The sequence below is a fragment of the Homo sapiens genome, chromosome 16 (genome assembly GCF_000001405.40).
Source record: "Homo sapiens chromosome 16, GRCh38.p14 Primary Assembly".
NCBI classification, from domain to species: domain Eukaryota; kingdom Metazoa; phylum Chordata; class Mammalia; order Primates; family Hominidae; genus Homo; species Homo sapiens.
Window position 1 is genome coordinate 16,377,827 of NC_000016.10, and position 22,666 is coordinate 16,400,492.

The window sequence follows — 22,666 nt, forward strand, 5'->3', positions numbered from 1 at the left end:
CCTCCCAAAGTGCTGGGATTACAGGCGTGAGCCACCATGCCCAGCCAAATCTAGGGCTGGAACATGGCTGCAGCATATAAATAGAATTGAATTCCATAGTTTTGTTAATCCTGTTTTTTGTTTGTTTGTAGTTGTTGCTGTTTTTGAGACAGAGTCTCGCTCTGTCGTCTAGGCTGGAGTGCAGTGGTGTAATCTCGGCTCACTGCAGACTCTGCCTCCCGGGTTCAAACTGTTCTCCTGCCTCAGCCTCCCAAGTAGGTGGGACTACAGGTGCCCACCACCACACCCGGCTAATTTTTGTATTTTATTAGAGACAGGGTTTCACCATATTGGCCAGGCTGGTCTGGAACTCCTGACCTTGTGATCTGCCCACCTCGGCCTCCCAAAGTGCTGGGATTACAGGCGTGAGCCACCACCCCCAGCCCCTGTTTTGTTTTTGTTTTGCTTGTTTCTTAGGGTTGTTTTTCTATTTATGGTAAAGGCATTGGCTTTCCATTTGTAGCATCAATAGAATATTTCCTGTTTACAATAACCTTATGTCATAGTAAATGGTAAAGGGATTTAAAGCAGTGGTTTTCAGCTGCCAGAGGCCTGAGAGAGTTTGGGCACACTCTGTGTGATCGGGCAGAAGGCCTGTGGGAAGTTTAGCTGAGGACAGGGCCAGGAAAGGTGATGGACAGTGGGGGTCTGTCCTGGTCACCAGGCCCCTGGGTCCTGCCCGCCTGCTTGGAGCTCCCCACCCATCACACATGATGCGGCCAAGCCCTCTGGGTATTGTGGGCAAATACCTTAGGAGAGAAGCTGATGAACTTTGTTTCTTGAAATGCACAGATTCCTTGGACGTCCCTGAGAGCTCAGTCATGAAAGTCAGCTTGGTTTTCTCCCCCTCATTTGGGTTCAGAATTTAAAGTCCACACACACGGGCAGTAAGATGACATAGATAAGGACATCATCACTCAGTTTCGGATGTTAAAATGTCTAGGTGGGTTAGGGGTGATTTGAGATCACACAACCTTGTGCCACAAAGAGGAATTCCCAGGCCAGAGGGAGACATTTTATTGCCATGTTATGATCTCATCATTGAGTTGAAAGGCAATCTTGTTTCATTTTGGATTCTTTCTTATGTTTATGTCTTATAAGGGCACTTTGAATTTCCAAGCAAATAATAATTTTGAATTAGCTTTTAATCATTGACTTCTAGCACAGTTTTATGATCAGAAACATGCTGTGTGATTTGATTGCTCTCAAATATATTGAGATTTGCTGGAACAAAATAAGTCAGGTTAATTTTTGTAAATGTACCATGCATGCTTAAAATGAATGTATGTACATTTGTTCCTGAGATACAGGTTGATGGACGGATGGCTACATGGATGTGATGGAGATGGTTTACTATCGGGACCTTCCGCATCCTGCTGATGTTTTGTTGCTTAGGATATGAATGGCTGAGCGGAGGCTGTACAACCTGGCACTCTGCTTGGGTATGAGGTTCTTCCTGCCATCCTGCCATCATTTGTTTTTTATGTTTTGTCGCCAAAAGTGACCTTGAGGAACCCTGGGAGCTCAGGAAGGAAGGAGCGCCCAGAAGCAGGGACAGGGAGCTGGTTGGGGAGGACCAGAAGTCAGGTTTGTGAAGGTTCCAGAGAGGACCTGGCCTTGGGAGGAGCGTGGGGGACTGAGATGGGGGAGGGGTCATTGGGATGATGCGGGCGCTACTTGGAATGTCCATTGTGAGGCACCACCGGGGTCATCAGGGATTGGTGGAGAGAGAGTCTAAAGCCCCAGGGTTGCTAAGGGAGGGCCCAGACCGAAGAAGGTTTGGTGGAAAGCAGAACCTTTGTCTCCCTCTAATTGCTCCTAAGCCTCACGCTCCCTTGCCCCGCCTGTCCTGTTGCTTCCCTGATCTTCTCCGTGACCTGTAGCTAAACCTTCCACCAGCGCTTGAGAACTTAATTTGAACCGGATCCTTTCCCAGACCCCTTTCTTCTTCTCCTCCTCCTCCTCCCCAACAGCCCCCTTCTCCTCCTTTCCCTTCCCTTACTTCCCCCCTTCCCCTCCCCCTCCCCTCCCCCTCCCCTCCCCCTCCCCAACTCAGATCCGGCCCGGTCCCCGTCCCCTTCCCTCCCCCCTGCCCTAAGCCACCTCCACCTCTGTCCTGGCTGCCTCAGGGCGCCCTGAAAGGACCAGGACATGCGGGTGCGGTGGCTGCTCTTTTGGCTCCTCTTTTGGCTCCTGCTGGGATTTATCAGCCATCAGTCCACCTGTGTGAGTAGATGGGTGCTGTGGCTGCTCTTTTGGCTCCTGCTGGGATTTATCAGCCATCAGTCCACCTGTGTGAGTAGACGCTGGACCCGCGGGGTTTCTTCCTTTTTACTGGGCTGTGTCACGCGGCATGAAATTACACAGCTCAGGCCTGTAATCCCAGCACTTTAGGGGGCTGAGGTGGGCAGATCACTTGAGTCCAGGAGTTGAAGACTAGCCAGGGCATCATAGCGAAACCCCATCTCTACAAAAAATTCCAAAAAAGATTAGTCGGGCCTGGTGGTGCGTACCTGTTATCCCAGTTACTGGAGAGGCTGAGGTGGGAGGATCGCTTGGGCCCAGGAGCTGGACGTTGCAGTGAGCCGAGATGGCGCTGTTGCACTCTTGTCTCCAACAGACAAAACGGACCAAAACAAAGTGAAATGTCATTTGATTTGTGTCATCTGGTTTGATGACTTTTTTTTGTTTGTTTGTTTTTTAGACAGAGTCTCACTCTGTTGCCCAGGCTGGAGTGCAGTGGCAAGATCTCGGCTCACTGCAACCTCCGCTTCCGGGGTTCAAGCAATTGTCCTGCCTCAGCCTCCTGAGTAGCTCAGATTACCACGCCTGGCTAATGTTTGTATTTTTAGTAGACCACCACGCCTGGCTACTTTTTGTATTTTTAGTAGAGACTGGGTTTCACCATGTTCGCCAGGATAGTCTCCATGTCTTGACCTCGTGATCTGCCTGCCTCGGCCTCCCAGTGCTGGGATTACAGGCGTGAGCCACCGCGCCTGGCCAAAATATATAACCTTAAGTGTAAGTTTACTAACTTTGGAAAGTACATACACCAGCATAAACCAACCCCCTTTCAAGATCTACATTATTTTATTTATTTATTTATTTTTTTGAGACAGTTTCTCCCTTGTTGCTGAGGCTGGAGTGCAATGGGGCAATATCAGCTCACCGCAACCTCTGCTTCCCAGGTTCGAGCGATTCTCCTGCCTCAGCCTCCCGAGTGGCTGGGATTACAGACATGTGCCACCACTCCCAGCTAATTTTGTATTTTTAGTAGAGATAGGGTTTCTCCATGTTGGTCAGGCTGGTTTTGAACTCCCGACCTCAGGTGATCCGCCTGCCTCGGCCTCCCAAAGTGTTGGGATTACAGGCGTGAACCACCGTGCCCAGCCAAGATCTACACTATTATGTCACCCCAGAAAGTGAACTCTCACTCTTCCCAGCCAGTCTCTTTCTTATCATAGCTTAGCTTGCTTATTCTGGAATTTCGCGTATACAGATGCATGCCATGCCATAGGTACTCTTTTGTGTCTGCTTTATTCTGCTCAACACCATGTTTCTGAAATCATTACCATTGTTGTACGGTTCTCTAACTCCATCATTTCCATTTCAGACTCAGCATATGCTGAGTTCAACCTGTTGAAGGGCTATCTCTGTTTAATTCACCATCTTGAAAGAAACATTTAAAATTGAGATGTTTTCAAGAATATATAGTTAAATCCTGAGGAATCGATGTAGAAATGTTATCAGAAGCTGTCTGAACTTACTCAGGGGAAGTCTTCGTCTTCACTCACATAAGAGTCTAATGGAATTAATATCAACAATCTTAGAGAAATCCCACGCTATTCATGCCATTTTCATGATCTCCACCTTGGTAATTTTTTTTTTTTTTTTTTTGAGACAGAGTCTCGCTCTGTCACCCAGGCTGAAGTGCAGTGGTGCGATCTTGGCTCACTGCAACCTCTACCTCCCAGGTTCAAGTGATTCTTCTGCCTCAGCCTCCCAAGTAGCTGGAACTATAGGCGCGTGCCACCATGCCCTGCTAATTTTTTGTATTTTTAGTAGAGATGGGTTTCACCGTGTTAGCTAGGATGGTCTCAATCTCCTGATCTCGCGGTCCACCCACCTCGGCTTCCCAAAGTGCTGGGATTGCAGGCGTGAGCCACCACGCCCAGCCCACCTTGTTACTTTTTAAGAACTAAAATTCGATACTTATTTGTGAATGAAGTAATCTCTTCATTGTATTTTTTTTTTTTTACTTATGCTGAGCTTTAAATGACAAAGATTCATATAATCCAAGAGAGAAGTATTATTTAGAGGGATTCTTTTACCATGTGATATATAATAAATGCATCCAATGTTATACATCAATTTAAAAAACAAGTAAATAACTAAAGAAAAGATAACTACTGGCCAGGTGCAGTGGCTCACACCTGTATTGCCAGCACTTTGGGAGGCCGAGGCAGGTGGATCATGAGGTCAGGAGTTGGAGACCAGCCTGGCCAAGATGGTGAAACCCTGTTTCTACTAAAAAGACAAAAATTAGCCGAGCGTGGTGGCAGGCGCCTGTAATCCCAGTTACTCAGTAGCTGAGGCAGGAGAATCGCTTGAACCCGGGAGGCGGAGGTTGCAGTGAGCTGAGATCATGCCACTGCAATCTAGCCTGGGTGACAGAGCAAGACTTTGTCTCAAAACAAAAATAAAAGATAAGATAATTACTTTATACTTAGCTTGTCTTACCCATGAGTGACGGGCTGCATGTGGCCCAGGACAGTTTTGAATGCAGTTCAACACAAATTTGTAAACTTTCTTAAAACATTAGGAGATTTTGGCCAGGTACAGTGGCTCATGCCTGTAATCCCAGCACTTTGGGAGGCTGAGGCGGGCAGATTACCTGAGGTCAGGAGTTCGAGACCACCCTGGCCAACATGGCAAAACCCCATCTCCACAAAAAATACAAAAATTTGCTGAGTGCACTGTCAGGCACCTGTACTCCCAGCTACTCAGGAGGCTGAGGCAGGAGAATCACTTGAACCTGAGAGGCAGAGGTTGCAGTGAGCCGAGAGCACACCACTGCACTCCAGCCTGGGTGACAGAGTGAGACCCCATCTCAAAAACAAACAACAAACAAAAACAAAAAAAATGGCCGGGCACGGTGGCTCACACCTGTAATCCCAGCACTTTGGGAGGCCGAGGCAGGCAGATCGCCTGTCAGGAGTTCAAGGCCAGACTGGCCAACATGGTGAAACCTCATCTCTACTAAAAATACAAAAATTAGTCGGGCATGGTGGCAGAGACCTGTAATCTCAGCTGCTCGGGAGGCTGAGGCAGGAGAATGGCTTGAGCCCAGGAGCTGGAGGTTGCAGTGAGCCGAGATTGCACCACTGCACTCCAGCCTGGGCGACTGAGTGGAGCGGAACTCTGTCTCAAAAAAAAAAAAAAAAATTTTTTTTTTTAGATCATCAGCTATTGTTAGTGTTAGTGTATGTTATGTGTGGCTCAAGACAACTTTGCTTCTTTTAATATAGGCAGGGAAGTCAAAAGATTGGATATCCCTGCTTTATACCAAGAAAGACAACACCCCACATTTGCAATGCCTAAAAACACTACCAGCCATCTGAAAAACATGAGACTTCTCTAACTTCTGTTCTTTTTTGTAGCAGTGGAATCCCACGGTGATATCTGAGGGATGTGGTTACCTTTTGGAGGAGGTTGACGGTTTCTAAGGATGATTCTTTCTGAGTGAAATATTGTCAGTGTCATTGACCTTTTCATTATTTCAACTATTATTATTCCAGGTTATCAATACTCTGGCTGACCATCGTCATCGTGGGACTGACTTTGGTGGAAGTCCTTGGTTACTTATCATTACTGTGTTTCTGAGAAGTTATAAATTTGCCATCTCCCTCTGCACAAGTTACCTTTGTGTGAGTATACTAACTTTCTGTAGAGGTATACTTGTAATCACAAATAAGAATAAATTATATGAAACAATTCACGTTTCTGGACTTCATTATGAATATGTGGTTTTACCCAAAAAATCAGGGAAATGATTTATTAGCATAAGAATTATGAAAATATCTGCCATTTACATTATGAAAATTAAATAGGTCGGTGTTTAATAGAATGTCAACAGAGCTTTTGGTCAAAAATAAGTTTTTTTAACCTTTGTGCTATTTGTCACAAATGGAGTATGAGATTTCGTCACTTAAATGGGAAAGTCTTTCTAAACTCTTCTGCTTTATAGTTCTATCGTATGGGTGGAAGGAAAGCTTCCAATCTCCTCTCTGAAGATTCACTGCAGAAATGAGCTGACAACAGACAGCTTAACAGGAAAAGAAAAACATAGAACAGGCATAAACATGGGAACCAGCTGAAAAATGAGACTGCTAGAAGGGCTGGATGGTTGATGCTTAAAGAGCACCCTCTTCTGAGGGTAGAGGGAGATAGATGGAGATGTAGGCCATTTAGAGGGGCAGCAAATGATTTTTAGGGGAAATGAAAGAGCCCAAGGAACAAACAGTTGGCCTGAGACAAAGTTCCTCTGAGGTCATAGGGACGAGGTGACAAACTGCCGGAAGGTGAAGGGCAGAACTGCACTGCGTCTCATGATGCAGAGAAAGCCCCACAGAATCTCTTAGAACTGCCCTCCAAGAGAATCAATGAAAAGTGTGTCTGGGCAGGGTAATTTTGAATGACATCATTCAAAGTGCATGTTCCCACTTGCAACTGGAATGAGATCAGTATGTCAAAAGTCTATACTTGGTAAGAATTTGGCTGCTAAGTTGTGCCATAATTTGTCTTTTGAGCCTTTTATCCTTTGCGTAAGTTGAGCTCTACATTTTGTCTTGCCATTCATGACAATAAAAATGTGGTTGTGTGGGGGCTGAACCTCCTTCTGAACAATGATCCAAGATAAAAGTACTAAACCACAATGCTTTTTTATATTCAAGGGAAGAGGAAGTATGTTTCAGTTTTACCGCCTAGATAATTACACGTCATTTGGCACTGCCTTTCAAGATATGTAGAAAACAGAAAATATATGAGTTATGAAGATATCTAGGCACATTTAACATTCTCTATGCCACTTAGTCCTGAACAGAGAATTTTCGGTATAAATTGGAGGAAGCTTTTTTTTTTTTCTTTTCTCACCCCCAAGAGGAGTCTCCCTCTGTTGCCCAGGCTGGAGTATAATGGTGTGATCTCGGCTCACTGCAACCTCCACCTCCTGGCTTCAAGTGATTCCCCTGCCTCAGCCTCTCAAGTAGCTGGGATTACAGGTGCCCACCACCATGCCCAGCTAATTTGTGTATTTTTAGTAGAGTCGGGGTTTTACCATGTTGGCCAGGCTAGTCTCAAAACCCGACCTCAAATGATCCACCCGCCTCAGCCTCCCAAAGTGCTGGGATTACAAGCGTGAGTCACCACGTGAGCCAGGGGAAGTTTTTAAATTTACCACTTTTTAACAATTCCATTTAGGAAAGTTCAGTTGAGCTGTTGGACTTGGACAACTTTGCACCTCTCATCTTTGTCCTTGTCATCTAGTCATCTATACCATTACCTCCTAAGCAGGGACATCATGGGTGCCATGAAGCATTCATGTGTGATGGCATTTCTTTGCTTCTCATTTCTTCATGTGTTTGACATTTCTCCTAGCTCCAAACTGGGCCAGCTACCTTTCCTATGAAATCTAGCAGTAGCTGTGGGATAGACGTGGTTGCTCTTTTCATCTTTTTAGATTACCCATTGCTTCTCTTGAAATCCTAGTACATGATTTTTTTTTAATCCTATGTGCAGAAATCAGGAAAAAACAAGTTCTACAAAGAATTTGAAAGATATTATTTCAGGCCAGGTGTGGTGGCTCATGCCTGTAATCCCAGCACTTTGGGAGGCTGAGGCAGGTGGATCACTTGAGGTCAGGAGTTCAAGACCAGATGGGCCAACATAGTGAAACCCCATCTCTACTAAAAAGACAAAAATTAGCCAGGCATGGTAGCAGGCACCTGTAATCCCAGCTACTTGGGAGGCCGAGGCACAAGAATCGCTTGAATCTGGGAGGTGGAGGTTGCCGTGAGCCAAGGTAGTGCCACTGCACTTCAGCATGGTTGAGTGACACTCCGTCTCAAGAAAAAAGTCATTTCAATGACTACCTCAGGAGATTCATAGGTATCTGACCCACATCTGAGATGGGATTTGCATTGCATTTTAGCTATGATGAGAACAAATATTTAATATCTTCGAAGATTAAAAGCATACTGTGATAATATGGAAATCTTGGTGGGAATTCAGTCATTAGTGAGAATGTTTTGCGTTAAGTTCAAACCAGCCTCAACGAAGCTGATGTGAGGGAAGGGAAAGTGAACTCTGAGTAGAGCAGGGACAGAAGAAAGATGCTCCAGTGCAGATCAGGAAGGAGCAGGGGGTGAAATGTTACAAATTCTAGAACTCAGAGAGCTGAAGGTAATTACTTCCTTTTCAAGTTGTGAAACATGTTAACCTGTGGTAAAATACTTACAAGATGATAATTACCATCTAACCGTGTTGAAGTGTACAGTTCAGTTGTGTGAAGTATATTCATGTCATTTTTTTTTTTTTTTTTTTTTGAGACAGAGTCTCACTCTGTCACCAGGCTGGAGTGCAGTGGTGGGATCTTGGCTCACTGCACCCTCTGCCTCCTGGGTTCAAGCAGTTCTCCTGCCTCAGCCTCCCGAGTAGCTGGGACTACAGGCGTGGGCCACCATGCTCAGCTAATTTTTGTATTTTTAGTAGAGACGGGGTTTCACCATGTTGCCCAGGATGATCTCCATCTCTTGACCTTGTGATTCACCCGCCTCGGCCTCCCAAAGTGCTGGGATTACAGGCGTGAGCTACAGCACCTGGCCTATTTTTTTTTTTTTTTTTGAGACAGAGTTTGAATTTTGTTGCCCAGGTTGGAGTGCAATGGCACAATCTCAGCTCACCACAACCTTTTCCTGCTGGATTCAAGTGATTCTCCTGCCTCAGCCTCGCGACTAGCTGGGATTACAGGCATGCACCACCATGCCTGGCTAATTTTGAATTTTTAGCAGAGACAGCGTTTCTCCATGTTGGTGAGGCTGGTCTCAAACTCCCGACCTCAGGTGATCCGCCTGCCTCGGCCTCCCAAAGTACTGGGATTACAGGAGTGAGCCACCCTGCCAGCCTCATGTCATTCTTTGTGTGTGTGTGTGTGTGTGTGTGTGTGTGTGTGTGACAGAGTCTCATTCTGTCGCTCAGGCTGGAGTGCAGTGGTGTGATCTCGGCTCACTGCAAACTCCGCCTCCCAGCTTCAAACGGTTCTCTGCCTCAGCCTCCCGAGTAGCTCGGATTACAGGCGCCCACTGCCATGCCCGGCTAATTTTTGTATTTTTAGTAGAGACGGGGTTTCACCATCTTGGCCAGGCTGGTCTTGAACTCCTGACCCCGTGATCCACCTGCCTCGGCCTCCCAAAGTACTGGGATTATACGCATGAGCCACCGTGCCCAGCCGTCATTCTTATATTATTATTTCCTAGGTGTCTTTCCTGAAGACTATCTTCCCATCTCAAAATGGACATGATGGATCCACGGATGTACAGCAGAGAGCCAGGAGGTCCAACCGCCGTAGACAGGAAGGTATGGCTCTGTTGGAGTCCCCATAGTGTGGAAATGAGTTTGCCCTGGAAAGGGAAAGAACAGCTTCTTGCCCTCAGGTTTCTCACCTTCTCCTCTCCTCACTCTCACCAAGGGCTGAAGTCCATTTGTATGCACACAAAGAAAAGAGTTTCTTCCTTTCCAGGAATTAAAATTGTCCTGGAAGACATCTTTACTTTATGGAGACAGGTGGAAACCAAAGTTCGAGCTAAAATCCGTAAGATGAAGGTGACAACAAAAGTCAACCGTCATGACAAAATCAATGGAAAGAGGAAGACCGCCAAAGAACAGTAAGATGTGCCTTGACACAAATACTGTTGTATGAACCATGTGCCAATCAAAGTAGACAACTGTAAAGTCCTTGAGAATATTTTCGACAATATTTGTGGCAAATTCAGTGGGTTCAAAATTGAGTTTGTCCTTTCTGCTTCATTAGTTTAAGCTGTATAATTCCTTTCCCTTCCTACATTCTTGTTTGTCATTTTTTCAGGGGAAGAGGAGTTGCTAGTACTGCATTGGTTTTCCTTTCTCTCTCTTTTTTTTTTTTTTTTTTCCTGAGATGGGGCTTTGCTCTTGTTGCCCAGGCTGCAGTTCAATGGCACAATCTCAACTCACTGCCTTTTGGGTTCAAGCAATTCTCCTGCCTCAGCCTCCCAAGTAGCTGGGATTACAGGTGCCCACCACCATGCCCAGCTAATTTTTGTATTTTTACTAGATATGGGGTTTCACCATGTTGTCCAGGCTGATCTCGAACTTCTGACCTCAGGTAATCCACCCGCCTCAGCCTCCCAAAGTGCTGGGATTAGAGGCGTGAGCCACCACACCCAGCACCCAGCCTTTTTTTTTTTTTTTTTAATTTTGAGATAGAGTCTCGCTCTGTCGCCCAGGCTGGAGTGCTGTGGTGCAATCTTGGCTCACTGCAACCTCTGCCTCCCAGTTTGAAGCAATTCTGCCTCAGCTTCCCGAGTAGCTTGGATTACAGGTGTGTGCCGCCACATTCGGCCAATTTTTTTTTTTTTTTTTTTTTTTTTTGAGACGGAGTCTCACTCTGTCACCCAGGCTAGAGTGCGGTGGCATGATCTTGGCTCACTGCAACTTCCGCCTCCCAGGTTCAAACGATTCTTATCCCTCAGCCTCTTGAGTAGCTGGGACTACAGGCATATGCCACCATGCCCAGATAATTTTTGTATTTTTAGTAGAGGCGGGGTTTCACCATATTGGCCAAGCTGGTCTAGAACTCCTGACATCATGATCCGCACACCTCGGCCTCCCAGTGTGCTGGGATTACAGGCGTGAGCCACCGTGCCCAGCCCAATTTTTGTATTTTTAGTAGAGACGGGTTCACCATGTTGGCCAGGCTAGTCTTGAACTCCTGACCTCAGGTGATCTGCCTACCTCAGCCTCCCAGTGTGAGCCACCGCACCCAGCCTGGATTGTTGAATTCAATGCTTGGGTCACCTCCAGATTCATTTTCACAGTCTTTCATGTTTTGGTCATACTACATTGTATTTTGCTGCCATATGACTGATCTTTTTTTGTTAAATGTGAGATACTTTTTAAAAAATATTTAACAATGCATTGAGGCCTAGTAGCATGTTATCTTGCTGCAGAAGAGATGGGAGTCTACTTCTGGGGGATGGTCAGGGGTCCTCCGTACAGGCTGCAATTGAGGTCGTCTCTGCAGGCTCAGTCCCTACAAAGGCCAGGGTATTTCCTGTCCACCTCTATTCTGATGCATGACTCTTCTGGGTCTCAACCAGAGCCAGTGGACTTCAGTATGGATCGCTTTCATTGGCAGACCCTCAATCCACTTGTTTTCCATCTAACCCCACGCATGTGTGCAAAAGCTGCTGTGCTTCTTTGCATCTCAGTAGTTCCTTCTGGAATTCAGCAATGAAACTCAGGGAAATGGGTTCCAAATGCGAGGCTGACTTTCGTCCTGGGTTTCCTTCTTCTCCATCTTCACCTCATGTCTGTTTACTGCCATGTTAGCAATTTGATGTATTCAATCATGGTTTTTATATTCTGTTTGGTGTCCCCCATTGTTCTCATCGGAGATCAGAAGCTTCAGATGCACTTATGTCAACTCAAGAGTAGAATGCTTCCTTAGCTTCCCTCCAGAGTCAGGTTTTGTGTTTCTAGTTCCCAAGTGCACAGCAGGAGTAGTGATGTCCTCACTGGCTTCTCATTTGCATTAAACTGTGAGCTTCTTTAGCGTGGGGACAGGACCCTGCTCCCATTGCATTGTCAGCACCTCACCACACACTCCTTGTTTGAGGCCACTCCAGACAGCATGTGCTGAAGGATGCCCTGTGGTCAGAAACAAGTTCATTAACTTTCTCTTTGAAGTGTTTTCGTCCCTGTTTCCTAGCGTTCTGGGAATTTTACACATCCTTCCTATAAAACCAAGTATCAGGTGAGATCCTTAGGATCAGGACCATGAATCAAGTGGTGTGAGGGCAACACAGCAAACTTACCCTTTTGAGGCCGTTTCCTTTTTCTGCCCTCAATCTCTGTGAATTGAACCTTGTTAAAGTCAGTCAACACCAGGGTGGATGGTTTGCCGTTGTCACCTATTTTCAGGACATAACACCCTGACTTAGGAGCCATTCCGATCATTTCTAATTCAATAGATGCGCCCAGCATTCAGATTGCCTTTTCAGGATCTTTAAAGTCGATGACAAGAGTTCCAGTCCTGAATCATGGCAAAGTGCAGTAGTGAACTGCGGGGTTAATGACACCATATTCTGGAAGGATCTCTCTATGGCTGATGGTCTCAGTTCCGGCATCAGCCTCTGACTGAGAATCAGGTCTCACACAGGAGGAGTCAGATGAGGAGCAATCCTCTGCTTCCGATGGAGTTAGTTGTGATGAATTGGTGAGGTCTGGTTTTTCACACTGAACTAAAATGAGCTTTCGCTGTGTCAAGCACAAGACTGACCCCAGAGACGCACATAGTGCACCTCATAGAAGCTTTTAATAGTCTTTATATTTACTAAAGAATAGGACTAACTATGGAACTATGAAGATGAGCTGGAAATGACAGGTGACTTGCCAGCAGGCCAGAGTGTGATTTTTTTTATCCCTCAATGGGAGGTGTCCATTCTCCCTTCAGTTGTGAGAATCAGTTGGTTCATTTGTGGGAAGGTTGCAGGGGGGATCTTTGAATCACAGCCTTCAGATGCCAGAAGGGCAGAGGGAATCCCACACGGGCTGGTGGATCATGTGTGTGCATTTCTCTCCCTTCTAGTCTGAGGAAACTAAGCATGAAAGAACGTGAGCACAGAGAAGAGGAGAGGCAGGTGTCAGAGGCAGAGGAAAATGGGAAATTGGATATGAAAGAAATACACACCTACATGTGAGTTCAGAAACTGAACCCCACCCTCTTGGGAAACGCCCATTGGAGTGTTGTTTTTAACCTTTGTACAATGTTTAGACCCAGTAAATGCAGAAATAGAAACAAATGGTCAGAAGACATATCGTGAGAGAGAGAGAGTTCACAAAACAGAAAACAAAGTACCTTAATATTTACCAGTGACCAAAAGATGTGAAGTAGCAAAACGGCTCCTGACCCCATTGCCAGCTAGACTGTGTGGAAACTCGGTTCATACCAGCCATTCTAGGGGTGGGGTGAGTTGTTGTCATCCTTAGGAAAGTGTGTTGTTGTAGGATCAACCACATCCTTCAAAAGGACTATGCCTGTTTATAAGCCCAGCTGTTTCTGCCCTGTGAAACACGGTAAAGATATTAATACAAAGAGAATACAGCTTTATGATAAAAGATGCTCAATGAAGGATGAATTAGGGATATACTGAGAATGGGGAAGGAAACTATCATCTCAGAAGTCAGCAGGCAGTAAGCAAGAGGAGGAATCAATATAGCAACAGTTTGGATCAGACTGTACAGTTTTTTTTGTTTTTGTTTTTGTTTTTGTTTTTCTGAGATGGAGTCTCGCTGTGTCACCCAGGCTGGAGTGCAATGACGTGATCTTGGCTCACTGCAACCTCCGCCTCCCAGGTTCAAGTGATTCCCCTGCCTCAGCCTCCCGAGTAGCTGGGATTACAGGTGCCTGCCACCACCCCCGCCTAATTTTTTGTATTTTTAGTAGAGACGGGGTTTCACCGTATTAGCCAGGATGGTCTCAATCTCCTGACCTCGTGATCCATCCGCCTCGCCCTCCCAGAGTGCTGGGATTACAGGCGTCAGCCACCGTGACCGGCTCAGACTGTACTCTTCTAGCCATCTGAAATACGTTTTCTAGGTAGAGATAGATTGTGTAAGGGTACAGTTGTGAGGATAACAGAAACATGGCAGATTATTTAAAATCATCCTGAAAGTGGTGCTTTATCTGATGAAAGTGATTGTAATCCATAGGGAAATGTTTCAACGTGCGCAAGCGTTGCGGCGGCGGGCAGAGGACTACTACAGATGCAAAGTAAGGAGCTTCCTCCCCGCAGTTGCAGGATAGTTCAGTGCTGATGCAGATGATGCCACGGCCCTTAGACTCTCTCAACATTCAATTTCTCATGTGTTGGCTTTTTCAGATCACCCCTTCTGCAAGAAAGCCTCTTTGCAACCGGGTAAGTTTGCTTGTTTTCCTTGCTTTTGGACATAGTCTGCCAGGTCAGGACATGGATACATTTTTCTCCCTACGGCTCTGTGCTCAAGCCCTGCAGAGGGAGATGGCAGAGAGGAAGGCTGCCTACAAGCATCACAGTCCCATCCCTGTTGGTAACTGTGTTGCGCAAAAACACCTTCATCCCCACCCAGTGGGGCCCCCATCTAATATTCTAAGTGTCAGAGGTTCCGTATTTGTAATAGCAAATGGGCCCTGACTGTAAATTAGTGAAGAGTGAATGTAACTTATTACCCACAGGGACAATTCCAAATGAGGGCCTTAAATGATGCTCAGCTAAGCTGGTTCTTGTGTGGCCTCTGTACCTTCAAAAGCTGCCGAGTCCTATGATTACACGCGATGGGACTTGTACACTTGAAGTGAAACACAGTTTTAAAACTTGCTTTGTTTAGAATTCCCACCTCATTTTTCCATGGACAAAAGTATTCTTTATGTCCTAGTGCACTTACAATTTGGTATTACCTGGGAGTGAAAAGAAATATTACAGCCATGCCTAACTGACTTCTTGAGGTAAGATTGTTCTGTCAGAAAACCCTCTCCCAGTTCCCCTGCAGCTCTTCAGGAATCCACATCTCTCCAGAGCTCTTTGTTCTCATGGGTGGCACCTCCAGAGTGAAGAAGATCCTTTGTCAAGAAGGGAAACAGAGGGGAAATGAGAGGGTCCTGCAGGCAGAGCTGGAATCAACTTCCACTCTGCCTCTTGCAAGCTGTGTGACCCTGGGCACAATTTCTCCTTCCTCTGGAAACCTCTGTTTTCTTAGATTTGGAGCAGGGTGGTCACACTGACCTTGCAGAGTTCTGAGAATCAGAGACAGAACATAAAAGGCCTGGAAAACATTCTCCAAAAAGAAGCTGCAACATGTGTGGACAATGGGCTTTTCATGCCTCTCTTACTGTCTCTTACTGTCTATTGACCTGGTGCAAGAAACATGCTCTGGTGATGGCTGTGAGGGAGGAATGAGGATAGACATAGACACTCCTGTGTCTCAAACATGCTTCTTTATTACTCTGTTATGACTCTGTCTTCCCTGGGGCAGGACCCCAGCCTGCCTACATTTGCAGACAGACACAGTGGCATGTGGAGACAACAGTGTGTCCCAATGACTTTTCTTTACCCCCTAGCTGTCGGCAGTACTCAGTGGAAGGGTGATATTATGACACTGACACTGCTATTTTGAAACCTGGAGGATGGAAAGGTGCAAAAATCTATCACCAGCAACAGAAGGTGCAGACTGTGTTGGTGGCGGTAATTTTGTCCATCAAATGAATATGTGTGAAAACATTCCCTCCTTTGGCCCTACAGGTCAGAATGGCGGCAGTGGAGCATCGTCATTCTTCAGGATTGCCCTACTGGCCCTACCTCACAGCTGAAACTTTAAAAAACAGGATGGGCCACCAGCCACCTCCTCCAACTCAACAACATTCTATAATTGATAACTCCCTGAGCCTCAAGACACCTTCCGAGTGTGTGCTCTATCCCCTTCCACCCTCAGCGGATGATAATCTCAAGACACCTCCCGAGTGTCTGCTCACTCCCCTTCCACCCTCAGCTCTACCCTCAGCGGATGATAATCTCAAGACACCTGCCGAGTGCCTGCTCTATCCCCTTCCACCCTCAGCGGATGATAATCTCAAGACACCTCCCGAGTGTCTGCTCACTCCCCTTCCACCCTCAGCTCCACCCTCAGCGGATGATAATCTCAAGACACCTCCTGAGTGTGTCTGCTCACTCCCCTTCCACCCTCAGCGGATGATAATCTCAAGAAACTAAGGAAGAATAAATAAATAATATAAAAATAAAATGAATACTGCAGTCCTTATGTTATTGCTTTGTTTCAATATCTGGTATGATTGCCTGAGGGACCTGAGGTTTTTAATCGTAGGGGTTTTTTTAATCTTTAGAAGTGGTTGGTTATGTAAAATATTATTATTTGTTTTTTTTTTGAGACTGGAGTTTGCTCTGTCACCCAGGCTGGAGTGCAGTGGCTCGATCACAGCTCACTGCAGCCTCAACCTCCTGGGCTTCAAGCAATCCTCCTGCCCCAGCCTCCCAAGTAGCTGGGATCACAGATGTGTGCCACCACGCCTGGCCAATGTTAAAAAATCCTTTAACTTTTTTGTAGAGATGCACTCCTGGACTCAAGCAATCCTCCTACTTGTCCCGACCACCAGCCTCTTTCTGATAAACATTTACACTGTTTATTATCTGATGCCATTTCTATCTTCTTCCTTGTCATCCAGACATCAAAGAATTAGGTTTCTTCAGGGTTTTCTTTTTCAAGTGCTCAGTGTTAAAGATCACTCACATTAGGGCCAGACACCACGGCTCATGCCTGTAATCCCAGCACTTTGGGAGGCCGAGGCGGGCAGAGCACTTGAGGTGGGGAGTTTGAGACCAGCCCGGCCAACTTGGTGAAACCCCACCTCTACTGAAAAAATACAAAAATTAGCTGGGCGTGATGGTGCATGCCTGTAGTCCCAGCCACTTGGGAGGCTGAGGCATGAGAATCGCTTGAACCCAGGAGGCAGAGGTTGTAGTGAGCCGAGATCACATCAGCACACTCTAGCCTGGGTGACAGAGCGAGACTGACTCAAAAAATAAATAAAATAAATATCACTTACATTAGATATACCCAAGGGGTGGTCTATAGAGACTTGGAAGCAGTGGTTATTGCAACAGGGGCACGGAAGTCATCTGGCTATGCCAGGGTGCCCAGGGGATACTCGGGGTGGGTGGCATGGTGCTGCTGGGGACTCACCGCACAGGACGCTCTGATTGACGCACTGCCAGGAGTAGCGCTCTGTCTTGGGGCTGCAGCCGGCCTCCTCAGCTCGAGTGTAACAACAGTCGTGGCCATGGCAGCACCTGCGGATGTCACATGGGCAGGACAGCAGGTGGGTGAAGCTCTCTCCTGGCCCTCCTCTCTTGCCAGGACTATGGGTGACTGAAGACCCCCAGGGAGGCACAGCATCCTCTTATCTAAGATTTTTTTTTTTTTTTTTTTTAAGAGACAGGGTCTTTCTCTGTCGCCCAGGCTGGACTGCAGAGGCACAATCATAGCTCACGGCAGCCTTGAACTCCTGGGCTCAAGCGATCCTCCCACTTCAGCGTCCCAAGTAGCTGAGACTACAGGCACACGCCAGCATGCCCGGCTGGTTTTTTAATTTGTATTTCCTTTGAGACAGCGTATCTCTCTGTTGCTCAGGCTGGAGTGCAGTGGCTCAATCAGCTCACTTTAGCCTTGAACTCCTGGGCTCAAGTGATACTGCCACCTCAACCTCCCAAGTCTGCTACTACAGGAACACAAACTCCTTTTTTAAATTTTTTATGGATATGGGGTCTTACTATGTTGCCTAGGCTGGTCTCGAACTCCCAGGCTCAAGCAGTCCTCCTACCTCAGCCTCCCCAAATGCTGGGATTACAGGTGGGAGCTACTGTACACCTGGCCTTATCTAAGCTGTTTCCCTGAAAATCCCCGTCTTGGGTAATGATTCCATTGGCCCCACCATGCCCTCTGCCTTCCTGGCTGTGCCCAAGCTTGGTCCCTGCCTGCCTGCCTGCCTCCCTCTCTGGGTCTTGAGCTCCTGTGACACATGACTCCTCTCTCTTCCTGGAGTGATCCAAGCCCTGCCACTTCCTGACTTTGCCCACACTGTACCCTCTGCCTGGGGCAACTTCATGTCTGCCCATTGTCCCTTAGGCCTCAGCCCAGGCACAAGCCCCTGCCTCCGGAGGTCATCCAGGCCTCACCAGGCTACACCCTCTCGTAAAATTGGATTCCCTCCCTTCAGGGCAGGTTTATAATGAAATCCTCCTCAGAGGCCAGGTGCGGTGACACCCATCTGTAATCCCAGCACTTTGGGAGGCTGAGGTGGGAGGATCACTTGAGGCCAGGGGGTCGAGACCAGCCTGGGCAACATAAGAGAGACTCTTGTCTCTATAACAAATTTAAAAATTAGTCACCAGGCCAGGCTCAGTGGCTCATGCCTGTAATCCCAACACTTTGAGAGGCCGAGGCAGGTGGATCACGAGGTCAGGAGTTCGAGAGCAGCCTGACCAACATGGCGAAACCCTGTCTCTACTAAAAATACAAGATTAGCCAGGCATGGTGGCACGCACCTGTAATCCCAGCTACTCGGGAGGCTGAGGTAGGAGAATTGCTTGAACCCAGGAGGTGGAGGTTGCGGTGAGCCAGGATCACGCCATTGCTGTCCAGCCTGAGCAACAGAGCAAGACTCTGTCTCGAGACAATAAAAACACACAAAAAATTAACTCGCCATGATGGCACATGCCTATAGTCCTAGCTACTTGGGAGGCTGAGGTGGGAGGATTCCCTTCAGCCCAGGAGTTTGAGGCTGCAGTGAGCCACTATGATTGTGCCACTGCACTCTAACCTGGGCAAAAGCGAGACCCCAGGCTAGAGTGCATGATTTTGGGTCACTGCAACCTCCACCTCCCAGGTTCAAGTGATTCTCCTGCCTCAGCCTCTTGAGTAGCTGGGACTACAGGCATGTGCCACCACGCCTGGGTAATTTTTGTATTTTTAGTAGAGACAGGGTTTAGTAGAGACCATGGTGAAACCCCGTCTCTATTAAACAAATCTCTACTAACCCCATCTCTACAAAAAACAGCTGGGCGTGGTAGTGCACACCTGTAATTCTAGCTACTTGGGAGGCTGAGGCACGAGAATCATTTGCATCTTGGAGGCAGAGTTTGCAGTGAGCTGACATCGCACCACTGCGCTCCAGCCGGGATGACAGAGCAAGACCCTGTCTCAAAAAAAAGAAAAAGGAACAAACAACAGCAACGACAACAAAAAAACCTCTGTGTCAATCACAGCCTACAAGCTAGGGGAGAGGCGGCCGAATTCTGCCCTCTGCTAACTAACTATAGCTTTGTGGAAATGGGTGAATGGCGTGCCCTTGTGAGCCTCAGGGCCCCATCTGTAAAATGGGCATAACTGTCATGCCCGTCTTTAAGAACAGCCTTGGGGGTAAATGAGTGGAAGTCATGGAAAGATCTCAGCCCACAACCTTCCACAGAACAGACGCTTCTCACACAGTAAGTAGCAGGAGTGCAGAGGCTGCAGGCATGAATCCAGCCAGACTGCCTGGGTTCAAGTCCCAGCTCCCACGTCTTGGTAACTATGTGGCCTCAGACAAGTTACTTAATATTTCTTTTTTTTTTTTTCAGACGGAGTTTTGCTCTGTCACCCAGGTTGGAGTGCAGTGGTGTGATCTCGGCTCATTGCAACCTCTGCCTCCCGGGTTCAAGCAATTCTCCTGCCTCAGCTTCCTGAGTAGCTGGAATTACAGGCACCTGCCACCACACACAGCTAATTTTTGTATTTTTAGTAGAGACGGGGTTTCACCATGTTGGCCAGGATGGTCTCGAACTCCTGACCTCGTGATCTGCCTGCCTCAGCCTCCCAAAGTACTGGGATTACAGGCGTGAGCCACCGCACCTGGACACGTTACTGAATATTTCTGTGCCTAGGTTTCTTCATGTGAAATGGGATTGTTGTGAGAACACAAAGGGATTCCCAGGGCAGTTCCTAGTGCATAGTCTGGCTGCCTTTGTATGTGTGTGTGTGTGTGTGTGTGTGCACGCGTGTGTGTGTGTGTGTTTAATATAGAGACAGGGTTTCACTCTGTTGCCTAGGCTCGTTTCAAACTCCTGGGCTCCAGTGATCCTCCTGCCTCGACCCAAAGTGGTGGGATTACAGGCATGAGTCAACACACCTGGTCACTTTATATTATTATTATTTTTTTCTTTTGAGACAGGGTTTGGCACTGTTGTCCAGGTTGGAATACAGCGGTGCAATCTCAACTCACTGCAAACTCCGCCTCCCGGGTTCAAGCAATTCTCCTGCCTCAGTCTCCCGAGTAGCTGAGATTACAGACGCCTGCCACCACACACAGCTAATTTTTGCATTTTTAGTAGAGATGGGGTTTCACCATATTGGCCAGGCTGGTCTTGAACTCCTGACCTCAAGTGATCTGCCGGCCTCGGCCTCCCAAAGTGCTGGGATTACAGGAGTGAGCCACCGCTCCTGGCCAATTTTTTAAGGCAACGTTTTCAGCCCATGGCCAGGGTAAGGCACAGCTAGTACCAAGATCTGGCTTCACTGGCCATGTTATCCAAGAGGCCTCTGCCTGCCTGCAAAGTAGTACTGCACACTGGGATCTCCCTGGACCAAACCCCAGCTTCAGTTTTGGGTACTTCCTCATAAGCCTTGACTACCCCAGAGTGTGAGGGATTTTGCAGCCTGGTCCCAGGCATGCACTCACCAGTCAATGGCATCGCGGGGCTGGCCATGGCCTCCCAAGCCACAAAAGCAACCATATTTCACATAGGCGATGGGAGTTCAGGGACCAACACAACCCACAATTCCTGCCAGTTCCAGGATCCCACGCCGGTGCACACATAATATCCTGGAGGCTGGGGGGTAAACAAAGGTGACAGGCTGCAGGTCAGGGCTTCCCAGACCCCTGGGAAGGGCATGAGCCTGAGAGGAGCCTAGGTGTTACAGCCTGGCTGTCTGGGTTTGAATCCTACTTCCTGGCTGTGTGACCTTGGACAAATTCCTAACCTCTCTGGGCCTTGGTTTCCTCATCTGTGAAATGGGGGATAAGCTGACTTCAACTCATATGAATGAAATGAGATAATGAGTATAAAGCCCCTGGTGCATGAAAAGGCTATTATAATCCGGCTGGGCTCAGTGGCTTACACCTGTAATCCCAAGATTTTGGGAGGCCCAGGCGGGCAGATCACCTGAGGTCAGCAGTTCAAGATCAGCCTGGCCAACATGGTGAAACCCCATCTGTAGTAAAAATACAAAAATTAGCCGAGCATAGTGGTGCACGCCTGTAATCCCAGCTACTAGGGAGGCTGAGGAAGGAGAGTCACTTGAACCTGAGAGGCGAAGATTGCAGTGAGCCAAGATTTTGCCACTGCATTCCAACCTGGGCGACAGAGCAAGAGTCTCAAAAAAAGAAAAAAAAAAAAAGGCTAACTATTATAATCAAGGTCCTCAAGGTAGCCAAGGAGGGAAAAGAGTCGTGCATGAAACCTTTGTCCAGTTCCCTGTGTTGGGCACTCGGCATCATATGAGCCTACAGGTGTCTGTCACCAAGGTGGGCTCCTCTGTGGCAGCTCCCAGGCCCTGGCACTGCCCTGTGCTCATGACTTTTCCTCCAGACTCAGGCTCAGGGCCCTTGGTATCTCCTCTTATTTTCACTGCCAGATAGGAAGGCCCCTTGGACTGAGCCCAGCCATTTATCTAGATCCTGGCACAGCTTGGACATGTAATGGTGCCCAATGCATGTGACTGGAACCCCTGCATTGGACATGTAGGAAACGAGGCCAGCCGGGAAAGGTAACCCCACATTCCCACAGCCAGCAGGAACTCAAGCAGAGGCTTCAACCCAGGCTTCTGACTTGCAAACCAGTGCTCCTTCCTCCTTACACAGTAACAACAGGGGAAGGTGGCCTTCCAGGTTGCCAGAGCCGAGTGGTACCAGCAATAGAGTGGAAACTCACACACAGGCTTGCCTGCTTCCTGGTTTAGGTTTAGGGTTTATACGGCTCCGGGAGGTTGATGCATTGTGTTTGATCATCCCCTTTTTTTTTTTTTTGAGACAGAGTCTCATTCCTGTTGCCCAGGCTGGAGCACAGTGGTGTCATCTTGCTCACAACAGCTCCGGGAGGTTGACGCATTGTGTTTGATCATCCCTTTTTTTTTTTTTTTTTTTTTTTTGTTTGAGACAGAGTCTCATTCCTGTTGCCCAGGCTGGAGCACAGTGGTGTCATCTTGCTCACAGCAACTTCTGCCTCCCAGGTTCAAGCAATTGTCCAGCCTCAGTCTCCCGAGTAGCTGGGATCACAGGCGTGCCCCACCACACCCAGCTGATTTTTTTATTTCTAGTAGAAACGGGGTTTCACCATCTAGGCTGGGCCGGTCTCAAACTCCTGACCTCATGTGATCCACCTGCTTTGGCCTCCCAAAGTGCTGGGATTATAGGCGTGAGCCACTGCGCTCATCCTGATCATCTTGTCTCTCTTTTTTTAAATAGAGACAGGGTCTCACTCTGTCACCCACACTGGAGTGCAGTGGCACAATCATAGCTCACTGCAGCCTCCAAATCCTGGGCTCAAGCGATCCTCCTGCCTCAGCCTCCAGATCCTGGGCTCAAGCGATCCTCCTGCCTCAGCCTCCAGACATACGGGCATGCACCACCATGCCCAGCTAATTTTTAAATTTTTAGTAGATCTGCGGTCTCACTATGTTGCCCAGGCTGGTCACAAACTCCTGGCCTCAAGTGATTCTCCTTCCTTGG

The 22,666-nt window shown here is 47.5% G+C and overlaps 1 protein-coding gene and 1 pseudogene across 1 annotated transcript; one reads left to right on the forward strand and one right to left on the reverse strand.

Annotated features, from left to right (window-relative positions):
* The first annotated feature begins 1,313 nt into the window (after positions 1-1,313).
* On the forward strand, positions 1,314-16,146 carry NPIPA7 (nuclear pore complex interacting protein family member A7). Its single transcript, NM_001282507.2, has 8 exons — positions 1,314-1,481; positions 5,838-5,966; positions 9,573-9,672; positions 9,836-9,980; positions 12,941-13,048; positions 14,065-14,125; positions 14,235-14,270; positions 15,630-16,146. The coding sequence occupies exons 1-8, from the start codon at positions 1,419-1,421 to the stop codon at positions 16,095-16,097; spliced, it is 1,110 nt and encodes a 369-aa protein (NP_001269436.1). The 5' UTR covers positions 1,314-1,418; the 3' UTR covers positions 16,098-16,146.
* Positions 17,086-20,768, reverse strand: PLA2G10FP (phospholipase A2 group XF, pseudogene; annotated as a pseudogene).